This window comes from Homo sapiens, chromosome 10 (genome assembly GCF_000001405.40).
Source record: "Homo sapiens chromosome 10, GRCh38.p14 Primary Assembly".
Taxonomy (NCBI): domain Eukaryota; kingdom Metazoa; phylum Chordata; class Mammalia; order Primates; family Hominidae; genus Homo; species Homo sapiens.
The window spans coordinates 28,588,819-28,610,505 of NC_000010.11; the positions used below are offsets into that span (position 1 = coordinate 28,588,819).

At 35.7% G+C, this 21,687-nt stretch overlaps 1 protein-coding gene across 18 annotated transcripts in view; it reads left to right on the top strand.

Annotated features, from left to right (window-relative positions):
• Positions 1–21,687, top strand: part of WAC (WW domain containing adaptor with coiled-coil) — a 90,334-nt gene that overhangs the window by 56,040 nt on the left and 12,607 nt on the right. For 13 of the 18 annotated variants that reach the window (XR_007061967.1, XM_047425320.1, XM_047425315.1 and 10 more), the window contains 4 exons: positions 918–1,033; positions 1,902–2,014; positions 6,915–7,223; positions 19,368–19,613. Coding sequence is in view for 17 of the 18 variants with exons in the window: in XM_047425320.1 (XP_047281276.1) it covers positions 918–1,033; positions 1,902–2,014; positions 6,915–7,223; positions 19,368–19,613 (784 nt within the window). In the remaining variant the exon portion in view is untranslated. Of the gene's footprint in view, positions 1–917; positions 1,034–1,901; positions 2,015–6,876; positions 7,224–19,367; positions 19,625–21,687 lie in introns of those variants that run through there. The other 5 variants (XM_047425318.1, NM_100486.4, XM_047425319.1 and 2 more) reach the window with 2 other exon arrangements.

The following is a 21,687-nucleotide window of genomic DNA, read 5'->3' on the forward strand; positions in this document are numbered from 1 at the left end:
AAGAGTAATTTGCATATCATCTCATTTATTTGTGTTGGGAACACTCAAAATCCTCTTTTCTAGCTATTTGACAAAATATAATCAATGTTATTTCAGTAAGCTCCTTTGAAAAAATAAGGAATTCAACCAGGATAGTTGAGATTCTACCAGATTTCCTGGGGGCAATTAGATACTTAACTAATCTTTGTGAGATTCGTTTCGTGGAAACTAGACCTTTCAGATCTTTCTAATTTCATTATGTTACGTTGTCTATAAAACTACCTGGAAGAGACTGTACCTGAGAATTTTTGAAAGACCATTTTTAGTTATGGGAAAAAGAGTGATACTGCTAATCCTGTATATTACATGAGAACAAGATTCTGGTTTATGTGTACTTGATCCATCTTGTTGATTTTGAAGGTGAAACAAACTTACAGCTTTTAATTAGCTTTCTGTTTATGTTTACATATTTTGGTTCCTTTTCTCACTGAGTAACAGTTAATACAGGCAAGATTGTTCTCTTTTATACCATATATAATTAGTATTGTGCCTTAGAATTTAGAACTGATGATTTCATGCCATCATCTAGTCGAGAGTGCATTCCCCACCCCCATGTTACTGGATTTCAACAATTAAAATTGTGGTGGGAGATTTTGTCATGCTTTCTAAAATCAAGGTGATGTTAATTTCACAGTTTTCTTTCTGTGCCTAACAATCTAATTTTTATTCTGCTTAATTTTGATATTTTATAAAGTTCTGTTGTCTTTGAAGATTTTCATAAACTAAGGTCTTATAAATACTTACACAGATAATTGCATTCTAGTTCAGAGTACCTTTATCTCATAAGTGTTTTCCTGTATGTGTGCTTTGATGTTGTTGATATTTCATGTGATTAAATAGTATTAACATTTTCTAATTGTAAAAAATATATTTTTAAGCCTTATGATTCTGCAGATGACTGGTCTGAGCATATTAGCTCTTCTGGGAAAAAGTACTACTACAATTGTCGAACAGAAGTTTCACAATGGGAAAAACCAAAAGAGTGGCTTGAAAGGTAATTAGCTTTTAATCTAATTAAACATTATTTCTCTAGCTTGGTTCTACTGGTTAACATCTTACAGCATTAAACATTCTAATTTAGCTTTTTTATAGTGCTGCCCATCTACACTTTTTAGTTGCGGTGGTTGGTTGCCCCTTCGTGTTTTCCATAGTTTGTCTTTACTTTTAAAAACAAAAAACCTGGCTGGGTGCAGTGGCTCATGCCTGTAATCCCAGAACTTTGGGAGGCCAAGACGGGAGGATCACTTGAGCCCAGGAGTTTGAGGCCAGCCCTGGCAACATAGTGAGACCCTGCCTCTACAAAAAGTTAGCTGTGAGTGGTAGCATGCACTTGTAGTCCTAGCTACTAAGAGGCTGAGGTGGGAGGATGGCTTGAGCCTAAGAGGCCAAAGCTGCAGTGAGCCATCATGGTGCCACTACACTCTAGCCTGAGCAACAGAGCAAGATGCTATCTCAAAAAAAAAAAAAAAAAAAAAAAATCTAGGATAGATAGGCAGCTGTCCACAAAGGACTTTTGAATAGTCAGTATAGTTAATAAAATACCTACATTTATGCATCTTTAATTTTGATGGAAATTTTAATAGTTTAATAAGGCCGTAATGTTTCTTTCACATGTAGAATTAAAATTGCTGAGCTTTGGTTATGGCGTTAGTGGTATAACAATTGGTATAATTTTGCCATTAGTGAGACATGTTAGTGTTCTGTTTGCTACGTTCCATCTCACACACCAGTTAAATTATGACCATGTTCACTCCTTTTGTTTTCTGTATACCATTTGTTAGGCATTTGGCCAGAGCTGTTTAGTATGGAAACTCATGCCCTTAATGTAATTTTTATATGTTTATCTTTTTTTTTATTTTTAGAGAACAGAGACAAAAAGAAGCAAACAAGATGGCAGTCAACAGCTTCCCAAAAGATAGGGATTACAGAAGAGAGGTGATGCAAGCAACAGCCACTAGTGGGTTTGCCAGTGGAAGTAAGTATTAATTTTTTTTCTTTGAAATGTATGTTTGACTTATTCGTATTTATTTTTCAAATCTGTATCCATTGCCATCTACATATGTAAATTAAAATAAATAGAAACATACGGAGATTCTTTTATGTTGGATTTATTATACCCTCCACCATTTTGGTCCCTGAAAAGGGAAAAGATACACGGTCGAGTAGTACAGGTATGTGTTTCCCACTACACATTATGGCTATAATGGAGTTGAATTGCAAACAGTAAAATTTTGTTTTGGATTGGTTTCCCCTGATCCCCCCAGACAGGAGCTTCCTCTCCCACCCTACCTGCCTGCCCTTAAGTTGTGTCCTATTAAACTGGACACAAATCTCACCGGCTTTTAGTCTAATAATTGAATCATAGCTACACACAGTGACACCAGAATAGCTACTTGTTTTTTTATGTTACCAGTGAGTAACTTGTTTATCCTTGTATGTAGAAACTAATTTCACCATGATCACAGATCTGTGTAACATCTCTAGTTTGAATTTCCACACAATTTTAAAATGTCTACTAGAAAACTTACACCTTTTTGTTCCAAGGTGCTCTTCATCTATAAAACCGTGGGCATACTTCAGTGTTCTTCTGAGGCCAAATTTTGTGCTCGTGGGACAATTTTGTATAACATACATTTATTTTGTAATTCATTCTCCAAATTTGAAGCTTTATTAAAGGTATTCTATTTCCACTGGCTTCCCTTAACTTGAATAAAATTTACTCCCAGTGCCGTGGCTCATGCCTGCTGCAATCCCAGCCCTTTGGGAGGCCGAGGCAGGAGGATGGCTTGAGGCCAAGAGTTTGAGACCGGCCTGTGCAACATGGCGAGACCCAGTGTCCACAGAATTAAAAATTAACCACGCAGCTGTAATCCCAGCCACTTGGGAGGCTGAGGCAAGAAGATGACTTGAGCCCTGGCATTTGGCTATGATCTTGCCACTGCACTCTAGCCTGGCAACAGAGTCAGACTCTGTCTCAAAAAAAAAAAAAAAAAAAAAAAAAAATTAACTGTCACATAGACTTCCTGGGTTCCTTTTGCAATTTTGAGAAGAATTTCAAGATGATGTTTTCTGGGAATTCTTAGACTTCAATGTTTCAATCCTGCTCCTATAACTCAAACCAAAAAGTTGGGGGTGTATTTGGTCTTAGAAGGGATTATTGAGTTTTTGATGGGAGAAAATATTTAAGATGAAACAGTAACATACATCTGCAGGATTAAGTGTTAAATTTTTAAATCAGTGAAATTGTATATAATTTTTTTAATGGTATAAAGTACTGAAGTTGGCATATTAAAGAACATTGAATTTTGAGATGGAAGAATTAGATTCTAGTCCCATTTCTTTTTATATCTTAATAAACTGACTTTTGTCAAACAATTAAAAATGAGACCGAGGTTTTCCTCTAGACATAAACAAGTTGCACCCAGCTTGTGGGTTTTTTGAGCAAATTGCAGGGGAGGGGATGCACAGAAAATGAGTGACAGATGGCTGGGTGTGATGGCTCACACCTGTAATCCCAACACTTTGGGAGGCTGAGGCAGGCGGATCACGAAGTCAAGAGATCGAGCCCATCCTGGCCAACATGGTGAAACCCCGTCTCTACTAAAATACAAAAGTTATCTAGGTGTGGTGGTGAATGCCTGTAATCCCAGCCACTCGGAAGGCTGAGACAGGATAATCGCTTGAACCCAGGAGGTGGAGGTTGCTGTGACCTGAGATTGCACCACTGTACTCCAGCCTGGGTGACAGAGCAAGACTCTGTCTCCAAAAAAAAGAAAAAAGAAAATGAGTGATGAGTGATAGATAAGTATAAAAATAACTTTTTAACTTGTTTTTCTTCATGATTTCAAAAGTAGGCCATATTCGTAAATAGGTAAAGTTTTTAAATTCCATGACCCTGGAACATTTTGGAATATATACTTTTTTTTCTGTATGCATATAAATGTGTATACAAATTACATATGTATGTATTTGAAAAATGGGATTCTGTGTTGCTGTTTTTTACCTGTTCTTTTATTCAGCAATGTGTCAGGAATATGTTTTTATGTCTGTTTATAATTCTGCAGTTGTTATATTGATTGCGTAGGTATACCTTCATTGACAAATAATCCCCTATCAATGAATACTTGGGAGGTTTTCAGCCTTTTCCTACTGTAAACAAGATTATGATTTCATATCTGCCCACTTCTCTGATTACTGCCTTCAGTTAAATTCCTAGATAGGCAAATGATGAGTCATTGTGTCTGTGCTTGTGTTGAAATGTAGTCATGTATCACACTTTTTTTTTAGTTTAGGTGATGTTTGAGGAAGAACCTTAGCTGTGTTGTTGCTTTTTTAAAAAATTGGTCAACTTAGTAATAAAGTGAATAAGCCATTCAAGTATTTAACTTAGTCTATCCAAAACATATTGGCAGAGTGTTACCTTGTGTTTCGGTGTATTGGTGTTTGTGTAGAGTATGGCTTAAAGCTTGTTCTTGACTACCAATAAAAGAACTTTAGGGGATGGCAGAGGGGGAAGGATTCAGAAGATTTTTACATGTAAAGAGATAAAGTAGGTTTTAATGAGGTTTTTGTTTTTGTTTTTTTGCAATATATTAAGTGTTTGTAAAGCACTAAAATATTTTAACAAAGGCCAGGCACGGTGGCTCATGCCTGTAATCCCAGCACTTTGGGAGGCCGAGACGGGTGGATCATCTGAAGTCAAGAGTTTGAGACCAGCCCGGCCAATGTGGTGAAACCCCGTCTCTACTAAAAATACAAAAATAAGCTGGGCGTGGTGGTGCGCGCCTGTAATCCCAGCCACGTGGGAGGCTGAGGCAGGCAGAGGTTTCAGTGAGGCGAGATTCATGCCATTGCACTCCAGTGAGACTCTCTCAAAAAAAAAAAAATAAAATATTTTATCAAATGTTAATATTCTCCACAACTTGATACTGAAAATTATATGGATAAAATTTTTAATTTGCGTTTAACTGCTACTAATTTTTATTTTTGCAAACCTGTGCTTTATATGTTGATGGCTCTATGTTTAGAGAAACCTTACTTAGGGTTTCTCAACAGAAGCACTAATGACACTTTGGGTGAAGTAATTGTTATGGAAGGCTTTCCTGTTTTGTAGGTTGTTGAGCACCATAACTGGCCTCTCCTCACTAGATGCCAGTAGCATACCTCCCCTCTCTCCAGTCAGGACAAGCAAAGCACCACCCTCTGGGAGGGTGACAAACAGGCACTGCTTTAACTGTGTTTATCTAGAGTTGTAAGTATAGAAAGCTGTTACAGCTATAGCGTCCCCTGTTCCTGTAATGCTGCTGCCCTTTTTGTTTTTTTAATTCAAAAATGTTAGAAGTATCATCCTTAATTTTCATTGGAGTACATACGCTTGATACATTTTGACTAGCGATATAGAACTGAAAGGAAGTTTTCTTGGTTGAGGAAATAAAAATTGTATACAGGGTTGGGCATGATATTATTCCTGCTATGTCTGTCTCTAAAGGTTTCTGTCTTAGTTGTACCTCATTGCAGGTAGAAACTGTAGAATAAAACTTTTTAAATTTTATGTTCATGCAAGTTGATAGCTTACTTATATATTACTATCATACAACAGATGTTTGTATTCTGTTCATTTTTGTAGATTTTTATATTGTATCATTTATAACACGGAATTTTATGTAGTAAGTCATTGTCAGAAGACCTCGTGCTTTGATGTGATTGACTTTTTGGGTGGTATTCCGGTACCTTTTGTTGTGGTGTACCATGTAGTGGTTGTGTACTGACAGCTTTGAAACTGACTTCTAGTTTGAATGTTCCTCCTTCGTTGTTTTGTCTTGGTCTTTACAATTGGAGGAGCTGTGAATTGAAAAAAACTATACAATAATCAACAGAGAGGGCATCCTTTAGTAAAATTATTGTACATCACATGCTTGGATTTTAGGTCGTTTCTCTCCTTGGAGGTTATTTTAATTCTTTAGTTATTGTTGGGAATATTGTAATTTAGATTGGACACTTTGAATGAACTTCAACATGATAGTTGAAATTTTCGTTCTTTTTGTACTGTTTTGTGGAATCATGGTGTTAGAATTTAAATTGATAGATTTTGAACTGTTTTCAGTATTTCTGAGCTTAAAGTATTTTTGTGGCTTTAAATTGAAAGAGGATTTGTTTTTAATACACCTAGTGATAAGTAGATTGTTCTGACTATGCTGCGGGTGTTGGACTTCTATTTTCAGATAGCATTATGCATCATGATTTTATTAACTCTCTGGTATTTGTAACATTAAAAATACTACAGATTGGTTTACTTACTGTGTTCACAGTTCATCATAACTTCAGTCATCTTAAAATGATTTCATTTAAGCCTTCTTATAAACTGCTTTAGAGGCAACTAATTGTAGCTTAGTATTCAGAAAGACCAGGCTAATAAAGCCTAATATTCCTTTGCAGTTGAACCACTGTGAATAATTCAGTTATTAAAATCTGTGACCTGTAGTGTAAAAGAACGAAGCATTTACTTTTTCTGCCTTTAAAACATTTTTTAAAATTTTATAAGATATTATAACTCCATATGTTGATTTTTTTTTTTTGTGTTTTGTTTGAACTACAGTGTGATTCTAAGGAATCCTTAAAAAATGTGTAGCACCCTTGAAATATGAGTATAGATGAATATTTATAGTTGAGCAAAAACTCCTCCTCTTCCAGTATTGCATATTTACATGCTAGTGGTAAAACTGCAGACACTAACTGGGTTTGCAGTTTTATAAAAGAATATGTAAGTACAAGTATGTTGCTAAATTAGCTGATGTTAAAGGTAGGATTCTAATGTAATCTTTTTTCTTCCCCCTTCTGTCATTCCAACATCTGTTTTTTCGAACTGTGAACTAAAGTGGAAGACAAGCATTCCAGTGATGCCAGTAGTTTGCTCCCACAGAATATTTTGTCTCAAACAAGCAGACACAATGACAGAGACTACAGACTGCCAAGAGCAGAGACTCACAGTAGTTCTACGCCAGTACAGCACCCCATCAAACCAGTGGTTCATCCAACTGCTACCCCAAGCACTGTTCCTTCTAGTCCATTTACGCTACAGTCTGATCACCAGCCAAAGAAATCATTTGATGCTAATGGAGCATCTACTTTATCAAAACTGCCTACACCCACATCTTCTGTCCCTGCACAGAAAACAGAAAGAAAAGGTATGCCATTATTACTAGATGCTGCACGTTGAACTATAGTTTCTAAGTTTCTTCTAAGTTTCTTATATATTACATTATTTCCTTTGGCTCTGAATTATAAATTTTTAAAAAAGTCTTTTAGAATGTTTCTGTGTAGAGTTAGGTGTAGAGTTAGCAATATTTAGCTTTTTTCTTTAATTTATAATTATCCAGCCTCAGAACTGTTTCTTGCCTCTGAATTTTAAGTCAAGTGCTTAATTTATAACAATAATGGTTTAAGTAATTTGTTAAAGTCAAGTAACTGTCTCTTCAATTTTCTGTTTTTGTGATCATTGTCTTGACAGTTTAGTTTATAAATCGTCTCAGTTTTCTCTTAATACTTAATATAAATAGAGGTATTTTAAAACTAATGTCTGTATAACATTTCATTATTGGTTTCAGTTTGTGATTAGAAAATTAAGTTGTGGGCCATAAGATAAGGCGTGTTAATGTCTGAATTGGACCTTAAGTCTGAAGAGTGGAAGTTAAACGTTGCAACCCAAATTGCGTTTATCCAACTCAGTGTCAATAATCATAGCATGTTTAAAAAGTTACAGAAAAATTTAAGAACAACTACTTGGAAGGTGTGACACAACATAAGCAGTGTGATAAAATTTGCATAGACCATTCACAATCTGAAACTTGTACTTCATAGTATGTTTTAAGAATCTAAGGAAATTAAAATGTAGTAAATAAATTGTCACAGGTAGATCCATTAGCAGACCATTAGTAAGTGTTGATGCGCTTTTAAATGTGCTGTGGGTTTAGGAGAGGCTTGATACATTAATTCACATTGATTCAATTTGTTGACAAAAGGGCTCAAATAGTTGGATTTCTTTTGTTTCTGATTTCCTCTCTCCTTGAACTACAGTGTGATTTTAAAGAATCCTAAAAAAGAACTTGTAGCCCCCTTAAAATCTAGATTAATAGAGACTAATATTTATAGTTGAGCAGAAACTCAACTATAAATACATTTTATTTGAAATTTTCTTATTACATGTTATATGCATGTAATACATGCATATGTATTATACATGTTATTTGAATTTTCCTTGTTATTCAACCATATACTTTAGTATATATATCATACAGTGCATAATGTGTCAGATTATTGCTTGTTCCAAATGTCAAATTCGGTAAAGATGGTTCGTACCAAAATTCATACATAAAATGTCAGATTTACCCTGTGACATATTTGCAAAGAGAAATATTGAGAGATGAAATCTGAATTAATGCTATAGTTAATATATTTTCCATAGGACATTTTGGTTTCTTAAGTTCCTATAATTTTGACAATTTGCTCACAGAAAATTTTACTTTAACAATCCTTGTCAGTTAAAATTCTGATGACCCTTTGAAAGTATTTATCCCATGTCACCTTTGTACATTTAACACTTTTTAACTCCTTTTTGAAATTCTTTCTCTGGCTTCTGTGATACTACACTCCTTCAGTTGCCTATTTCTGTTCCTTCCTGCTTACATATCAGCATCTCAGCCTTTTTTCCTCTGTTTGGTTCTTTTTCTTGTTAACCATATTCCTTGGTAGTCATTTTGTTACTGTTATGACTACCAAGTCTTTAGTTCTAGTTCAGACTTACGTATCTACTTACCTTCTGTAAACTCTTAGTATTTGTTACGTATCCTCATATACAGTGTGTCCCTAATTTCTCCCTTTCCCACAATTTATTCTTAGATTCGCAGTAATTGACAGCACTGTTCTTCCTAACTTTGCCTTATTCTTAAACATTCTCACCCACCCACCCATTGAGAAATCTTGGGCTCTTTCTCCTAGCACTCATTGAAATTCAGATTCTCTCTCTCTGTTTTAATTGTAAAAATCTTTCGTGGAGATTTCACTTACTGAAATTCAGGTCATCTCTCTCCGTTTGTTAATTTGTAAAAATCACTGTATTGCTCAGACTGGTCTCAAACTTTTGGCCTCAAGCAGTCTTCTGGCCTTGGCCTCCCAACGTGCTGGGATTACAGGTGCGAGCCACCGTACCTGGCCAGGTTCTCTTGAAATAATCTCCTGATTATCTTCTTACCCAGTCTATCCGCTTAACAGTGGCATCATTATACCATTTAAATTGAATTGTGTCGGCTCCTTGCTTAGAAACTTCTAGTGGTTTTTTAAACATCCAGATGATAAAGTCCATGCTTAGATTATAGCAAGCACTTGACAGGATGGTTGCAGTCTGTTTTACTAGCTTGGTCTCCATCCGTTGCACTCTTAATTCTCTGTAATTCATCTGTTGCAAACTTGGACATTTGTTAGGACTTGCCATTATCTTTCCTGTCCTGAGCTTTTGCTAAATAGAACATGTTCTTTCTTTCATTGCTGTCCTGTTGAATCCAATACTCTTTTGTTACAACACTTAAACATTGTAATTTCAGTTTTTTCACTTAGATTATATCCCCTCTAGGGCTCAACATTATGTTTTACTGTATTTTGTACTTTGTTCACCTTCTAACCCTTCCCTCCATGCAGTTTGATGCTAATTGTCTTATGTTCATTTTAGTTTATTCCTTAAAACAACACTGGTGAGGGAAGGTAATATCTCTTATCTTAGAAATGAAGAGCCTAAACATTACCCCAATTCAAACGTGTGGTGTTAGAGGCAGCTTCTCCACAACACTGTTCTTTCCTCAAAACCAAATGTAATGAAAGACATAACATACAGCACATCTATGTCAGTTCGGACGCTCGTAATGTAAAATTTCTGACAGAGTAGATTCGAGTTTAAATTTCACGAAGTGTGTTTGCTAATCACAAGCATGTGCATAATTTATATATAGTATTCTTAAACTTGTAGGAAGAAACTCGATTACCTACCATGGAATTATCTGTTTTTATAGGGGAAATTGTGCAGTCTTTCCAAGTACTTCTCCTTGTATGTTAATTGAAGACTGTTACATCCTTAGATAAGTTTTATAGCAACTTTAATCTTTACAGATTGTTTTCCATTTAGTCTGTTTAGATTGTTCATTTAGATTGTTCTCCATATTTCTGAAATGTCCATTTGACATATTTTTTTTCTCAACGGAGACATCCATGTTATTTAAATTAAGCTTTCTATTGACTCTTCTCATCAGTAGATGATTAAAATGATTAAAACAAGTAAAATTAGTGATTTTACTTGTTTAGGTTTTTCTTAACAACTAAATAATTTATATTAAGCGCTGATGGTTCAAATCAGGTTGGCCTGTTGTTCTTAAGCACTGATAGTATAGCTGAGCTGTGTCTAAAGATGTCAGTGGTTGATGCTGTGTATAAGAGCAGAGTCTTTGTCTTTCTTAACCACTGCTCTATTCCTAGTGCTTGACAGATAATAGGCAGTGTGTAAATATTTGTTGTAGATGCCTATACAACAGTGTGTAAATGTTGGATGGATGCCTATACTACATGTGTGTAATGGATGTTGTATAGGCATCCATGTTCTATGTGTTAAAATATTTGTTGTAGATGGATGCTACAAGAACAGGTGTTGAGAGTTGGGAGCACTTGCACTGGTCATGGTTTTTAAAAAAGTATTTGGAGAAAAAGAAGTTTGTGTATGTGTTGTGCATCTGATTAAAGCATACCAGCAATGGATTTAGATCTGTTTGATGCCAGTGTGTCATTTGAGAGAAAGAACCTAAGGTGAATTCAAGTTTTGTGCCTGCATGAGTAGTCAGAACGGTAGAGAAAGCTGCAGAGCTCTTTTATTTTTGCAGAGAACAGTCTTGATGTTAGGTAGAGTGAAACAAGGGAGTGAGGTGACCCCATTTAGGTCTATAGTTGTTTGTTAGGGTAACATTTGAACATCTATGTATGATCACTTTATTGGACCACCATACAACAAGTAGAGAAAGTCTGATACACCAAAAAAATACAAAATTGAATTTTATCAGTTGGCACCCAAATGGCCATTTTAAACCTGCTCTAACTCTGCCATCCCTTCTAGATTGGTGAAATGACAAAATAGGAAACGTGGGTCCTTATTGTTTGCTATGACCAAGTTGTCAGGAGAGTTTAATATCCTTATTCAGTAAGTTCTCTATTTAGTGATTTAGAATTATGATTTATTAGCAGAGATAAATTTGAAAACAAAACAAAGTAGCCATAGAATTAGACCTATTTAGTAATCTCAAGCTAGCTCTCCGTATGAACATGTGTAAATAATCACATACTCACATGCTGGTGCCATATGTAAAGGGCAGGACAGACTAGTCGTTTTAATATGAGGTGTGAGTCAGTCACTTGAAGTAAAATTTCCTTCTGTTTTTATGCTATCTGTAGACTAAATGACAATTGAATGAACTCAAAAACTTCAGTATGTGTTAAAGCTAGGCTCTTATAGCTGATGTAGATGGTCATTAACTGGCAGTGGTAGTGGGCCAACTTCAGCACTCAGTTGCTTTGCTTTAAAATAATTTTTAGGCTTACTAAATATTCATGAAAAGTTAGAAAGATTGGCCATAGTTATTCAAATATTTATTGAATAATCGAATAACTTAGTGTAGGAATTTAGTCTTAGTCATTAAATTTAACTAGGTTTAGTCAACTTAATGAAGAAATAACTGATAAAAAATATTAGGAAATATTGTTTGTAATTTGAGGGTAAGGAAAGTCTTCATCAAGACCCAAAATGGATTTGTCTTTTTAAAAATTAATAAATTTGACCACATAGACATTTAAAACTTCTTTATAAAAAGTACAATAAACAAAGGTTGAAAGATAAGTATCAGACAGGAGAAAATACTTGCGACATGTAACAGGATACATTAAAGATACATAAAAAGATACATACAAAGCAGAATGAAAAAGACAATCCAATAGAACAGTGGACAATCCAATGAACAGAAAATTAGAGAAGAGCTGTTGCACCATATACAAAAATTCACCGAGAATGGATCAAAGACCTAAATTTAAGAACTAAAACACCGAGGCTCTTGGAAGAAAACAAAATCTAAATGGTATTGGAGTTGGCCATGATTTCTTGAAATATGATAACCAGAGCACAGGCAACAAAAGAAAAAAATAGGCACATTGGACTTCGTCAGTATTAAAAACTTGTACATCAAAGGGAGTGAAAATGCTATTCATAGAATGAAAATATTTGTAAATCACGTATGTTGATAAGGGATGAATGAATATATGTAGAAGTCCAGCTTAACCATGTAAAACAACACGGTTCATAAATGGGCAAAGGACTCGAATAAACATTTCTGCAAAGAAGATATCCTGGTGGCCAGTAAGCACATGAAAAGATGGTCAGCCTCCTTAGTCATTAGGGAAATGCAATTCAAAAGCCATAATGAAATACCACTTAATACCCATTAGGATGACTATTATAATTAAAAAATGGAAATAGGTGTTTTGGAGGGTATGAAAAAATTGAAACCCTTGTACATTGTTGGTAGGAATGTAAAATGATGCAGCTACTCTGGAATACAGTTCGGCAGTTCTTCAGAAAGTTAAACAGAATTATGTGTAGGATCTGGCAATTCCATTTCTAGATACATACCCAAAAGAAAGGCAGAGACTCAAAACATGCTTACATGCGGGTGTTCCTAGTAATTCACAACAGACAAACATTAGATAGAAACAATCAAGTGTTCATTAGCAGATGAAAGGATACGACGTGATACATAGACTAACAATACAATATTCAGCCTTCAAAGGGAGTGAAATTCTGATACATGCTACAACATGGATGAACCTTGAGAATATTACATGAAATAAGCCAGGAGCAGGACACATATTTTATGATTCCACATATACTAGGGTACCCAGAATGGTCAAATTCATACAGACAGAAACTGGAATAGTAGTTACCAGGGACTGTTTGGTGGTGTCCGGGGTGGGAGTGGGTGTTAAGTTTCTGTTTGGGAAGATGAAAATGTTCTGGAGACGTATAGTGGTGATAGTTGCACAGAAATGTGGATGTACTTAAAGACACTGCATTATACTTGTAAAATGGTTAAAATAGTAAGTTTGATGCTGCGTATACTTTACCAGGGTAAAAACAATGCAAGAGAAAGATTGCCAGTGCATGCTGAAAATTAAGATTACTAGGAGGATATTTTTCACTCTTGAGACTAATGACAACAATTGAATGTTGGGAAGCACAGTATGTGGGAGTGTGTAAGTGGGTCTTGCTAGTAGGGGATGTCACTTTAGCAAAATCTGTTGGAAGTTGCTTATCTTTTGTGTGTATTAACATGAAGATTTTCTCAGTTGAATAAAACAAGTTAAAGAATACTTTCTTTGTTGTAAAACAGCATATTTATATACATTTATAAATGCATTAAGTTCTAGAAGGATACATGAGTAAAAATATGAATTTAAAAATTAAAGTCACAGATTTAGGTGTTGTCACCTACCTACCTTATGGTTTTTTCCTACTACACTTACATACCTCTTCATAATCTGCTCTATGTTTCCCATGTAACACCACTATTACAAAATAGATAAAGCAGGCTGCCTTTGTAGCAGTAATTTGAGTTTCATGTGTCCCCATGTCCTGCTCAGTATTACAGCAACTGTCAAAACACAACAGGAAAGTAATGATTAGAAGTGCACTTATTACCAGTATCATTTTAGATCTTCTGTATATTGAAAAGGATTTGAGATACCAGAAAAATATAGGTAAGAAATAAAGTTTGACTTTAGTTTATGCTCTTTACAGTAGTTTGCAAGGGTACCTATAACAAGAGTTGAAGTGATAATATTTTAAACCCTAGAAAGAGGTTATAGCAACAGATTTTTATGCGTCTAGTCTTTGGTAGGCTGCCCTGCCCCAGCAGAATTTGGAAATACAAGTGAATAATTTATAATTATAAAGCATTAAGAAGTTTTGTCTCTTAAATACATAGAATTTAAAATCAAAGGGTGATATTTACAGCACATATCAAATAATTGGTCAGATATACAAGTCACAGAAATGTCAAATGGGAGAGTGAAGGAAAGTTTAAAATAGCTTAGGAAGAGATCACAAAATATCCTTTGAAAGATCATAGGCACACACAAGTCAACACTAGAGCTAAAACCAGATATTATTCCATTACTAAAGAGTGATTTTGAAAGACCATTTAAAGTAGGAGTATCCAATCTTTTGGCTTCCCTGGGCCACATTGGAAGAAGAAGAATTGTCTTGGTCCACACGTAAAATAAACTAATGATAGCTGATGAGCTTTTAAAAAAATTGCATGTTTTAAGAAAATTTACAAATTTGTGTCGAGCCACATTCAAAGCTGTCCTAGGCTTCATGTGGCCCGTGGCCCATGGGTTGGACGAGCTTGATCTATAGTAGTCTAGGTTTCCTTAATGCTTGGAAAAGTTTGCATTGAAGCAGTGAGAGTAGGGCTGATATATTCTTCAAGCGCAGAAGAAAGCATTGAACTGACTTTTTAATGAAAAACACTACATTCTCTCACGTAAATTCATTCTTTGTGTTTAGCTCTTTTCAAAGATGTGGATTTTCTGTTTATGTTCAGTTTGTTGCAAACATGTAAAACATGTTATTAAGCATATTAGCCTCATATCCTAACAAATTAGACAAAAAGGTTTCAGACAAATGAAGTTGTTAATTAAAATTATGTATTTGTAGGCCAGGTGCGGTAGCTCACGCCTGTAATCCCAGCACTTTGGGAGACTGAAGCAGGTGGATCCACGAGGTCAGGAGATCGAGACCATCCTGGCTAGCACGGTGAAAACCCCATCTCTACTAAAAATACAAAAAATTAGCCGGTCGAGGTGGCAGGCGCCTGTAGTCCCAGCTACTCGGGAGGCTGAGGCAGGAGAATGGCGTGAACCCGGGAGGCAGATCTTGCAGTTAGCTGAGATTGCACCACTGCACTCCAGCCTGGGTGACAGAGCAAGACTCCGTCTCAAAAAAAAAATATATATATGTATGTATGTATATATATATATATATATATATATATGTATATATATATATATTTCTATACTAAAAGTACACTGATTTTTTTTAAGTTATTCCAAAGTTTTGTTGCCTTTGTGTTTACAAAAGGTGGTTTATTTTTATAAGATTATTTAAAATAAGTTTAAGTTAAATTTGTCTCTACATAGTGTTACTTAGCTTTATGAATATAGCATAAAATGAGCTATTCATCGTTTTCTTTGACTGTTACGTCGATGGAAGTGTAAGGCCTACCTTCCCAGCATTATCAGGTGTTTTTTTTTTTTTTATTGTTTAGCATTATCAGTTTTGAGGCCAATCAAGATGATTGGCCTAGAAGTTAAATGCGAATGCATGTGTACATGCTCCTGTTACCTGTATTGAAGAATGCTGTCATTAACTGGCACCCAGGCAGCAAGTGTATGTTGATGCCATTTTGGTGCCGAGTCCTGTTTTCTACAAGGGCTACAGAGAAAAGTACAACAAGGCCCGGCGTGGTGGCTCATGCCTGTAATCCCAGCACTTTGGGAAGCCGAGGTGAACAGATCAGTTGAGGCCAGGAGTTCGAGACCAGCTTGGCCAATATGGCAAAATCCCATCTCTACTAAAAATACAAAAAATTCGCTGGGTGTGGTGGCATGCACCTGTAATTCCAGCTGAGGCAGGAGAATCACTTGAACCCGGAGGCAGAGATTGCAGTGAGCCAAGATCACGCCACTGCGCTCCGGCCTGGGTGACAGAGAACGACTGTATCTCAGGAAAGAAAAGATACAACACAATTCCTCTCCCGAGGAAGCTCATGTTCCTAGTACAAAGGAGGGATAATAAATGTTATGTAATAGAAGATACTGAGTAATACACTAGATTTGTGTAAGGGCACTCCAAACCAAAGGGGAGGGGCACCCAATCAACACTTTAAATATAAAACTTCTACCTTTTATACTATTTCAGTGATAAAACTAAAACTACCTCTCAGAATAGCATTTTATGTTTGTATTATTAAACTCAGCTTTTAGTATTATACATGTAGATTGAGGCATGTAACATAAGAAATATGTAAATAACTTACAACATGCTTTGGAAGGACGTTTGTATGTGTGTCTTTGGTTGAGAGAGTGGAGCAATAAAAAAAGTGTAAATATAGCATGCTGAAGACCTGCATGGATAAAAGATTTCGCTTCTGTCCCTGATCGTATCTTTATTCAATTCAGTTCTCCACATTGTGCTATATTTTTTCAATTTTGCTTTATGTTTTTCTTTTGTTTGTTTTTAAAGTTAAAAGGAACCTTGGAGGTTCTCCAGTCTATTTTTGCATAAACAGCAAGTAGTGCCAGAATCACACATAGAACTTCTACAAGTTGTTAGATATGCCCAGGCTTCCGTTCAGTAAATGTGGCTTGGAGCCCAGGTATCTGGTTTGTTTTGTTTTTTAACTTTAGAAGTGATTCCGATGAGCAGTCTGTTGAGGACTAATACCTTTATTAAAAGGTTTAATAAAATCAAACCTTTTCATAGAGAAGTTGTGGCCTTCAGAGATGTCACTTGCCCAAGAGTCCCATAAATATTAAGTAGAATCAACTGGTTTCCACACTACTCACCTGTAATTCCCCAAAACTGCAAAAGAAGTCTATCCTTGGGGTAAATAAACAGAAATTAAGGATGTTTTTGTTATTTTTTGTTAATGATGATGTGTATTTTTTTTATTTTGGAGTATTTTCCCTTTTGCTTGGCTTGATGAGCAACACTGAAGGATTTTTAAGCCCTTCTGCTAATTTTCATGTCTCGTAGATTTGGTAGCACCAAATAAAATTGTAAACACCTTGCACTTTCTTCTCCAACTTGTTTCTGTTAAAAGCAGAAGAAAATTTACAGAAATAACAAAGAATGAGGATAATTTCAGGGGGATATTAATACTAGTTTAATTCATGCAGTAAGTAGAAATAAAGAGTTTATTTCATTATTAATATTAATCAGGATGCCCCCAAGTTGTGTGTGAAAGAACCTTTAAGAGGGATGTGATCTGGAGAATACTGCTAATATGCTCTATAATTGATTGCCCCATAAAATACAATAGCTGACAGCAGTTTTTTGGTTTTTTTTTTTTTTAGACAGGGCCTCACTCCCATTGCCTAGGCTAGATTGCAGTGGCTGAATCACGGCTTAATGCAGCCACGACTTCGTGGCTCAGGTGGTTCTCCCACCTCAGCTTCCTGAGTAGCTGGGACCACAGGCGCAAGCCACCACAGCTGGCTAATTTTTTGTATTTTTAGTAGAGACGGGGTTTTGCCGTGTTGCCCAGGCCGGTCTTGGAAATCCTGGGCTCAAGCCTTGCAAAATGCTGGGATTATAGGCGTGAGCCACCACGTCCATCTGACAGCAGAATTTTCGCAAGGAAAACATTTATCGTTTTATTTGAGTTTCTTTATGCTTGTCTATGAATCCAGAACAGTAAAGCTGAAAATAATAGGCAGTCTGCTGGATTCAAGCACCTTCCTTTAAAAGTGTATACCCTTACGCAAATAAAAATATCTTAGTCCTTCTGAGTTCATCATGGTTAATCAACACATTTTTGAAATGTACTTAAATCAGCTGTGAGATCCACACTTTAGAGAGCTATTATCCCTAGTTCTTTCGACCATTATAGTAGTGTAAAAAGACTCATAGGGGAGTCTGTTTTCAATAAGCTTGCTAGTACTGTATATATGATCTTGAAAATCTTAAAGAAATAGGTTGTTTCTAGTTTTATACTAAAAGCAAACAGAGTGCTGTTGTGATAGTCTTTGAATTTTCTCCTGATTTACATATATCTGAGTTTCACTGAGGGTGTGTACCTAAAGGGGAATTACTGGGTCATGTAGTGTTCGTATCTTCAACTTTTCTAAATAATGCCAAATTACTTTCCAGTGTGGTTATATCAATTTATTATCCATCAGAAATGTTGAGTAAATGTTCTCATTACTCTTTGCCAACATTTGGTATGTCTGACTTTAAAATTTTTGCATTATGGTGAGTGTAAAGGGTTATGTTGCTTTATTTTACATTGTCCTGATTCTGAATGAAGTTGAGCATCTTTTCTTGAATTTCCTAGGCATTCAAGTTCCTTCTTTGAAATAATGTCTTCTGTACATTTTTCTATTGGGCAGTTTGTCTATTTTGACGTATAGAAATTCTTTAAATAGTCTGATTACCACTACTTTGAATATAATTGTTCTGCTTTTTGTAACTTTACACATCTGCTTGGTGTTATGGATACCTTTCTGTGTTTTCCTCTAAGAGTTTTAAAGACTTAAATACCTACACAAAAGTTCAGTCTACCTTTAACTGGCTTTGTTTTAAATGTAAGTTTTTATATTTGGCAGGGCATGTCCTGCTGGCAGTGTTCTTTTTCTTCAGGTTATGGAATCTTCAGGATTTATGTTACTAGCTTGTCAAATAGTATTAACAGTGCTCTTGGGGCTTTGATTACAGTTACATTAAATCTATATAAATAATTGAAACAACAGCTTTCAAATAATTTTCCATGCGTATTTTATACATCCTTTATTTCTAAATACTATGAGGTGGGTTGTTTTTAATATTAAAGTGTCCTTTTTAATAATCTTAAAATGAAACAAATAGCTCATTGCCTTATATATTGAATTACAAAAGGGAAGTATGTAGTTACAAAACTCAGTTATTAAGTATAAAAGTCTCTTCTCATCACATCTTTAGCCCATTTTGGGTGTAACCACCTTGGTGTACCTACCCTGATTTGTATTAAGACCAGTGTCTTATTGAGGTAGGTTGTTACTGTGGCCATAAACATTTTTCACCTTATTTCATGAGATATAAATTAAATCCTGTAGAATTATATTGTCCTTTTATCCTAATGGAAGCTTATTTGAATGTGTGGTTAATAAATAATTATCTTTGAGATAGCATTGGTGGTAGACAGATTGGTACTTTTCAAATCAGATATGGGTATGATTTACCAGGTTTTATGGCTTCAGGTTATCTAACCTTTCTTGTTCAGCTTTCTTACCTATGAAATAGGGTGAGAAATGTCTAAATCATTATTCTAGTCATGTGAATGTTTACTGAGCATCTTCTGTGTGCTCCAGTGTGTAAGGGTTAAATGAGATTACTTACGTTAGGTGCCTGGCACATGAGAGGTGTTCCTTTGATGTTTGTTCCAATTTTCTCTATTCAGGTAATTTTTCAGGCTGATTATCTTTTTATTTAGAATCTACATCAGGAGACAAACCCGTATCACATTCTTGCACAACTCCTTCCACGTCTTCTGCCTCTGGACTGAACCCCACATCTGCACCTCCAACATCTGCTTCAGCGGTCCCTGTTTCTCCTGTTCCACAGTCGCCAATACCTCCCTTACTTCAGGACCCAAATCTTCTTAGACAATTGCTTCCTGCTTTGCAAGCCACGCTGCAGCTTAATAATTCTAATGTGGACATATCTAAAATAAATGAAGGTAAATCTTCATAACAGTTTTTTAAAAATTTATTTGCATTGTGCAAAGTTATGTAAGTAGTAAAATCCCCAGTTTAGGAATGGTCTTTGTTTTCTTTTGAAATTTATAGTTGAACACTTTTTTTTGTTTTGTTTTTTGTTTTTGGAGTTTGGAAATTTATATCCACTGTAGTTTAAGACCATTGGTAGTATAATTGAGTTAGTGGTGCTTGGATCTTGTGTATATTTTTCAATACTTGTTATGTGTCTGGTAGTTACTGGAGGTAAGCCATTCTATATACATAATGTGTATGGTGAAATTTTACATTAAAACAATCGAGCGTTTGTTGAAATCGGTATTAAAACTTCTGGTATGTTTCTAAAAAACCTGTATAAATAATTACTCAGAATATTTAAAATATGCTAATTACTAGAAAAGTAGGAATTCAGGTAGCTACTTAAAATACTTTCAAAAAATTCTGAGAAGGGAGGAGATAGGTACTAGATAAAATGTTGCCATTTTTTTCCTGGTGAATTGCATTATTTAATTCCAGCCTTGCTTTTCAGTAATGCTACTTACGTTTCAGAATATTTAGTCAGCCACTTTGAAAAAGTATGAATAAAAGTAGATGTGTTAATTTGGAAACTATTCAGATTCACACGTTAATTCCTAAAAGCACTGCAAAATTTTCTGTTGAAAATGATAAATTTTTAGGCCGAGGCGGGTGGATCACCTGAGGTCAGGAGTTTGAAACCAGCCTGACCAAGATGGTGAAACGCTATCTCTAATAAAAATACAAAAGTTAACCAGGCGTGATGGCACATGCCTGTGAATCCCAGCTACTCGGGAGGCTGAGGTACGAGAATCGCTTGAACCCAGGAGACGGAGGTTGCAGTGAGCTGAGATGGTGCCTGTACACTCCAACCTGGCTGACAGAGCAAGACCCCATCTCAAAATAAATAAAAATAAAGTGATCAATTTTTATGTACATTTTCACATAATATACTTAAAAGTAGTGTTAAGTGGTTAAGTTCTTATCCTAAAAATAAAGCTATCTCAGGCTAGTTGGTCATTAGTCTGTTCTTACTGTCCTTAATTTTTTTGTATTTTTATTTTATTCTCTAACCACGCAGTTCTCTTGTGTGGTAGGTAAATGTTTCATTTAGGCAAAGTGGGGCTTTTAGATAGTTTGAGGAGGCCAGATGCAGTGGCTCATGCCTGTAATTCCAGCACTTGCTGAGGCTGGTGGGCCACTTAAGCCCAGACCAGCCTGGGCAACATGGTGAACCCCATCTCTACTAAAAATACAAAAACTTAGCCAGGTGTGGTGGTGAACGCCTGTAGTTCCAGCTACTTGGGAGGCTGAGGTGGGAGAATAACTTAAGCCTGGAAGGTGAAGGCTATGGTAAGCTGTGATTGCACAACCCTGTCTCCAAAATAAATAGTTGAAGAAATAATAGTTAATGTCAATAATAAAATATCTTACACATCAAAAATACATGGTATTCCTAAATACTTTTTTTTTTTTTTTTTTTTTGAGATGGAGTTTTTGCTCTTGTTGCCCAGGCTGGAGTGCAGTGGTGCAATCCCGGCTCACTGCAACCTCTGCCTCCCAGGTTCAAGCGATTCTCCTGCCTCAGCCTCCCTAGTAGCTGGGATTACAGGCACCTGCCACTATGCCCAGCTAATTTTTTGTATTTTTAGTAGAGACAGGGTTTCACTATGTTGGGCAGGCTGCTCTTGAACTCCTAACCTTAGGCGATCCACCTGCCTCAGCCTCCCAAAGTGCTGGGTGTGAGCTACCATGTCCGGCCAATACTCCCTTTTTTGTATCCATTTTTAGATTTATTAGGGTGGATCTTGATATAGGATTTGAATGGCCAGCTTGTCTAAAAGGGCAATCACATGAAATAGCAGTTGTTTATCCAGTTAATTCCATATAACATACTGAACACTCACATATGAATAGGTTTCTGACATAATTGGAAGTTCCTGTGAACACTCGTTAAATTTTGTAGAGAGACTTTGTTCAGGTGATCATCTTAATTAGTGTAAAAGAAACTCTGTTGGTTTACCTTTATTGTAAACCCATTAA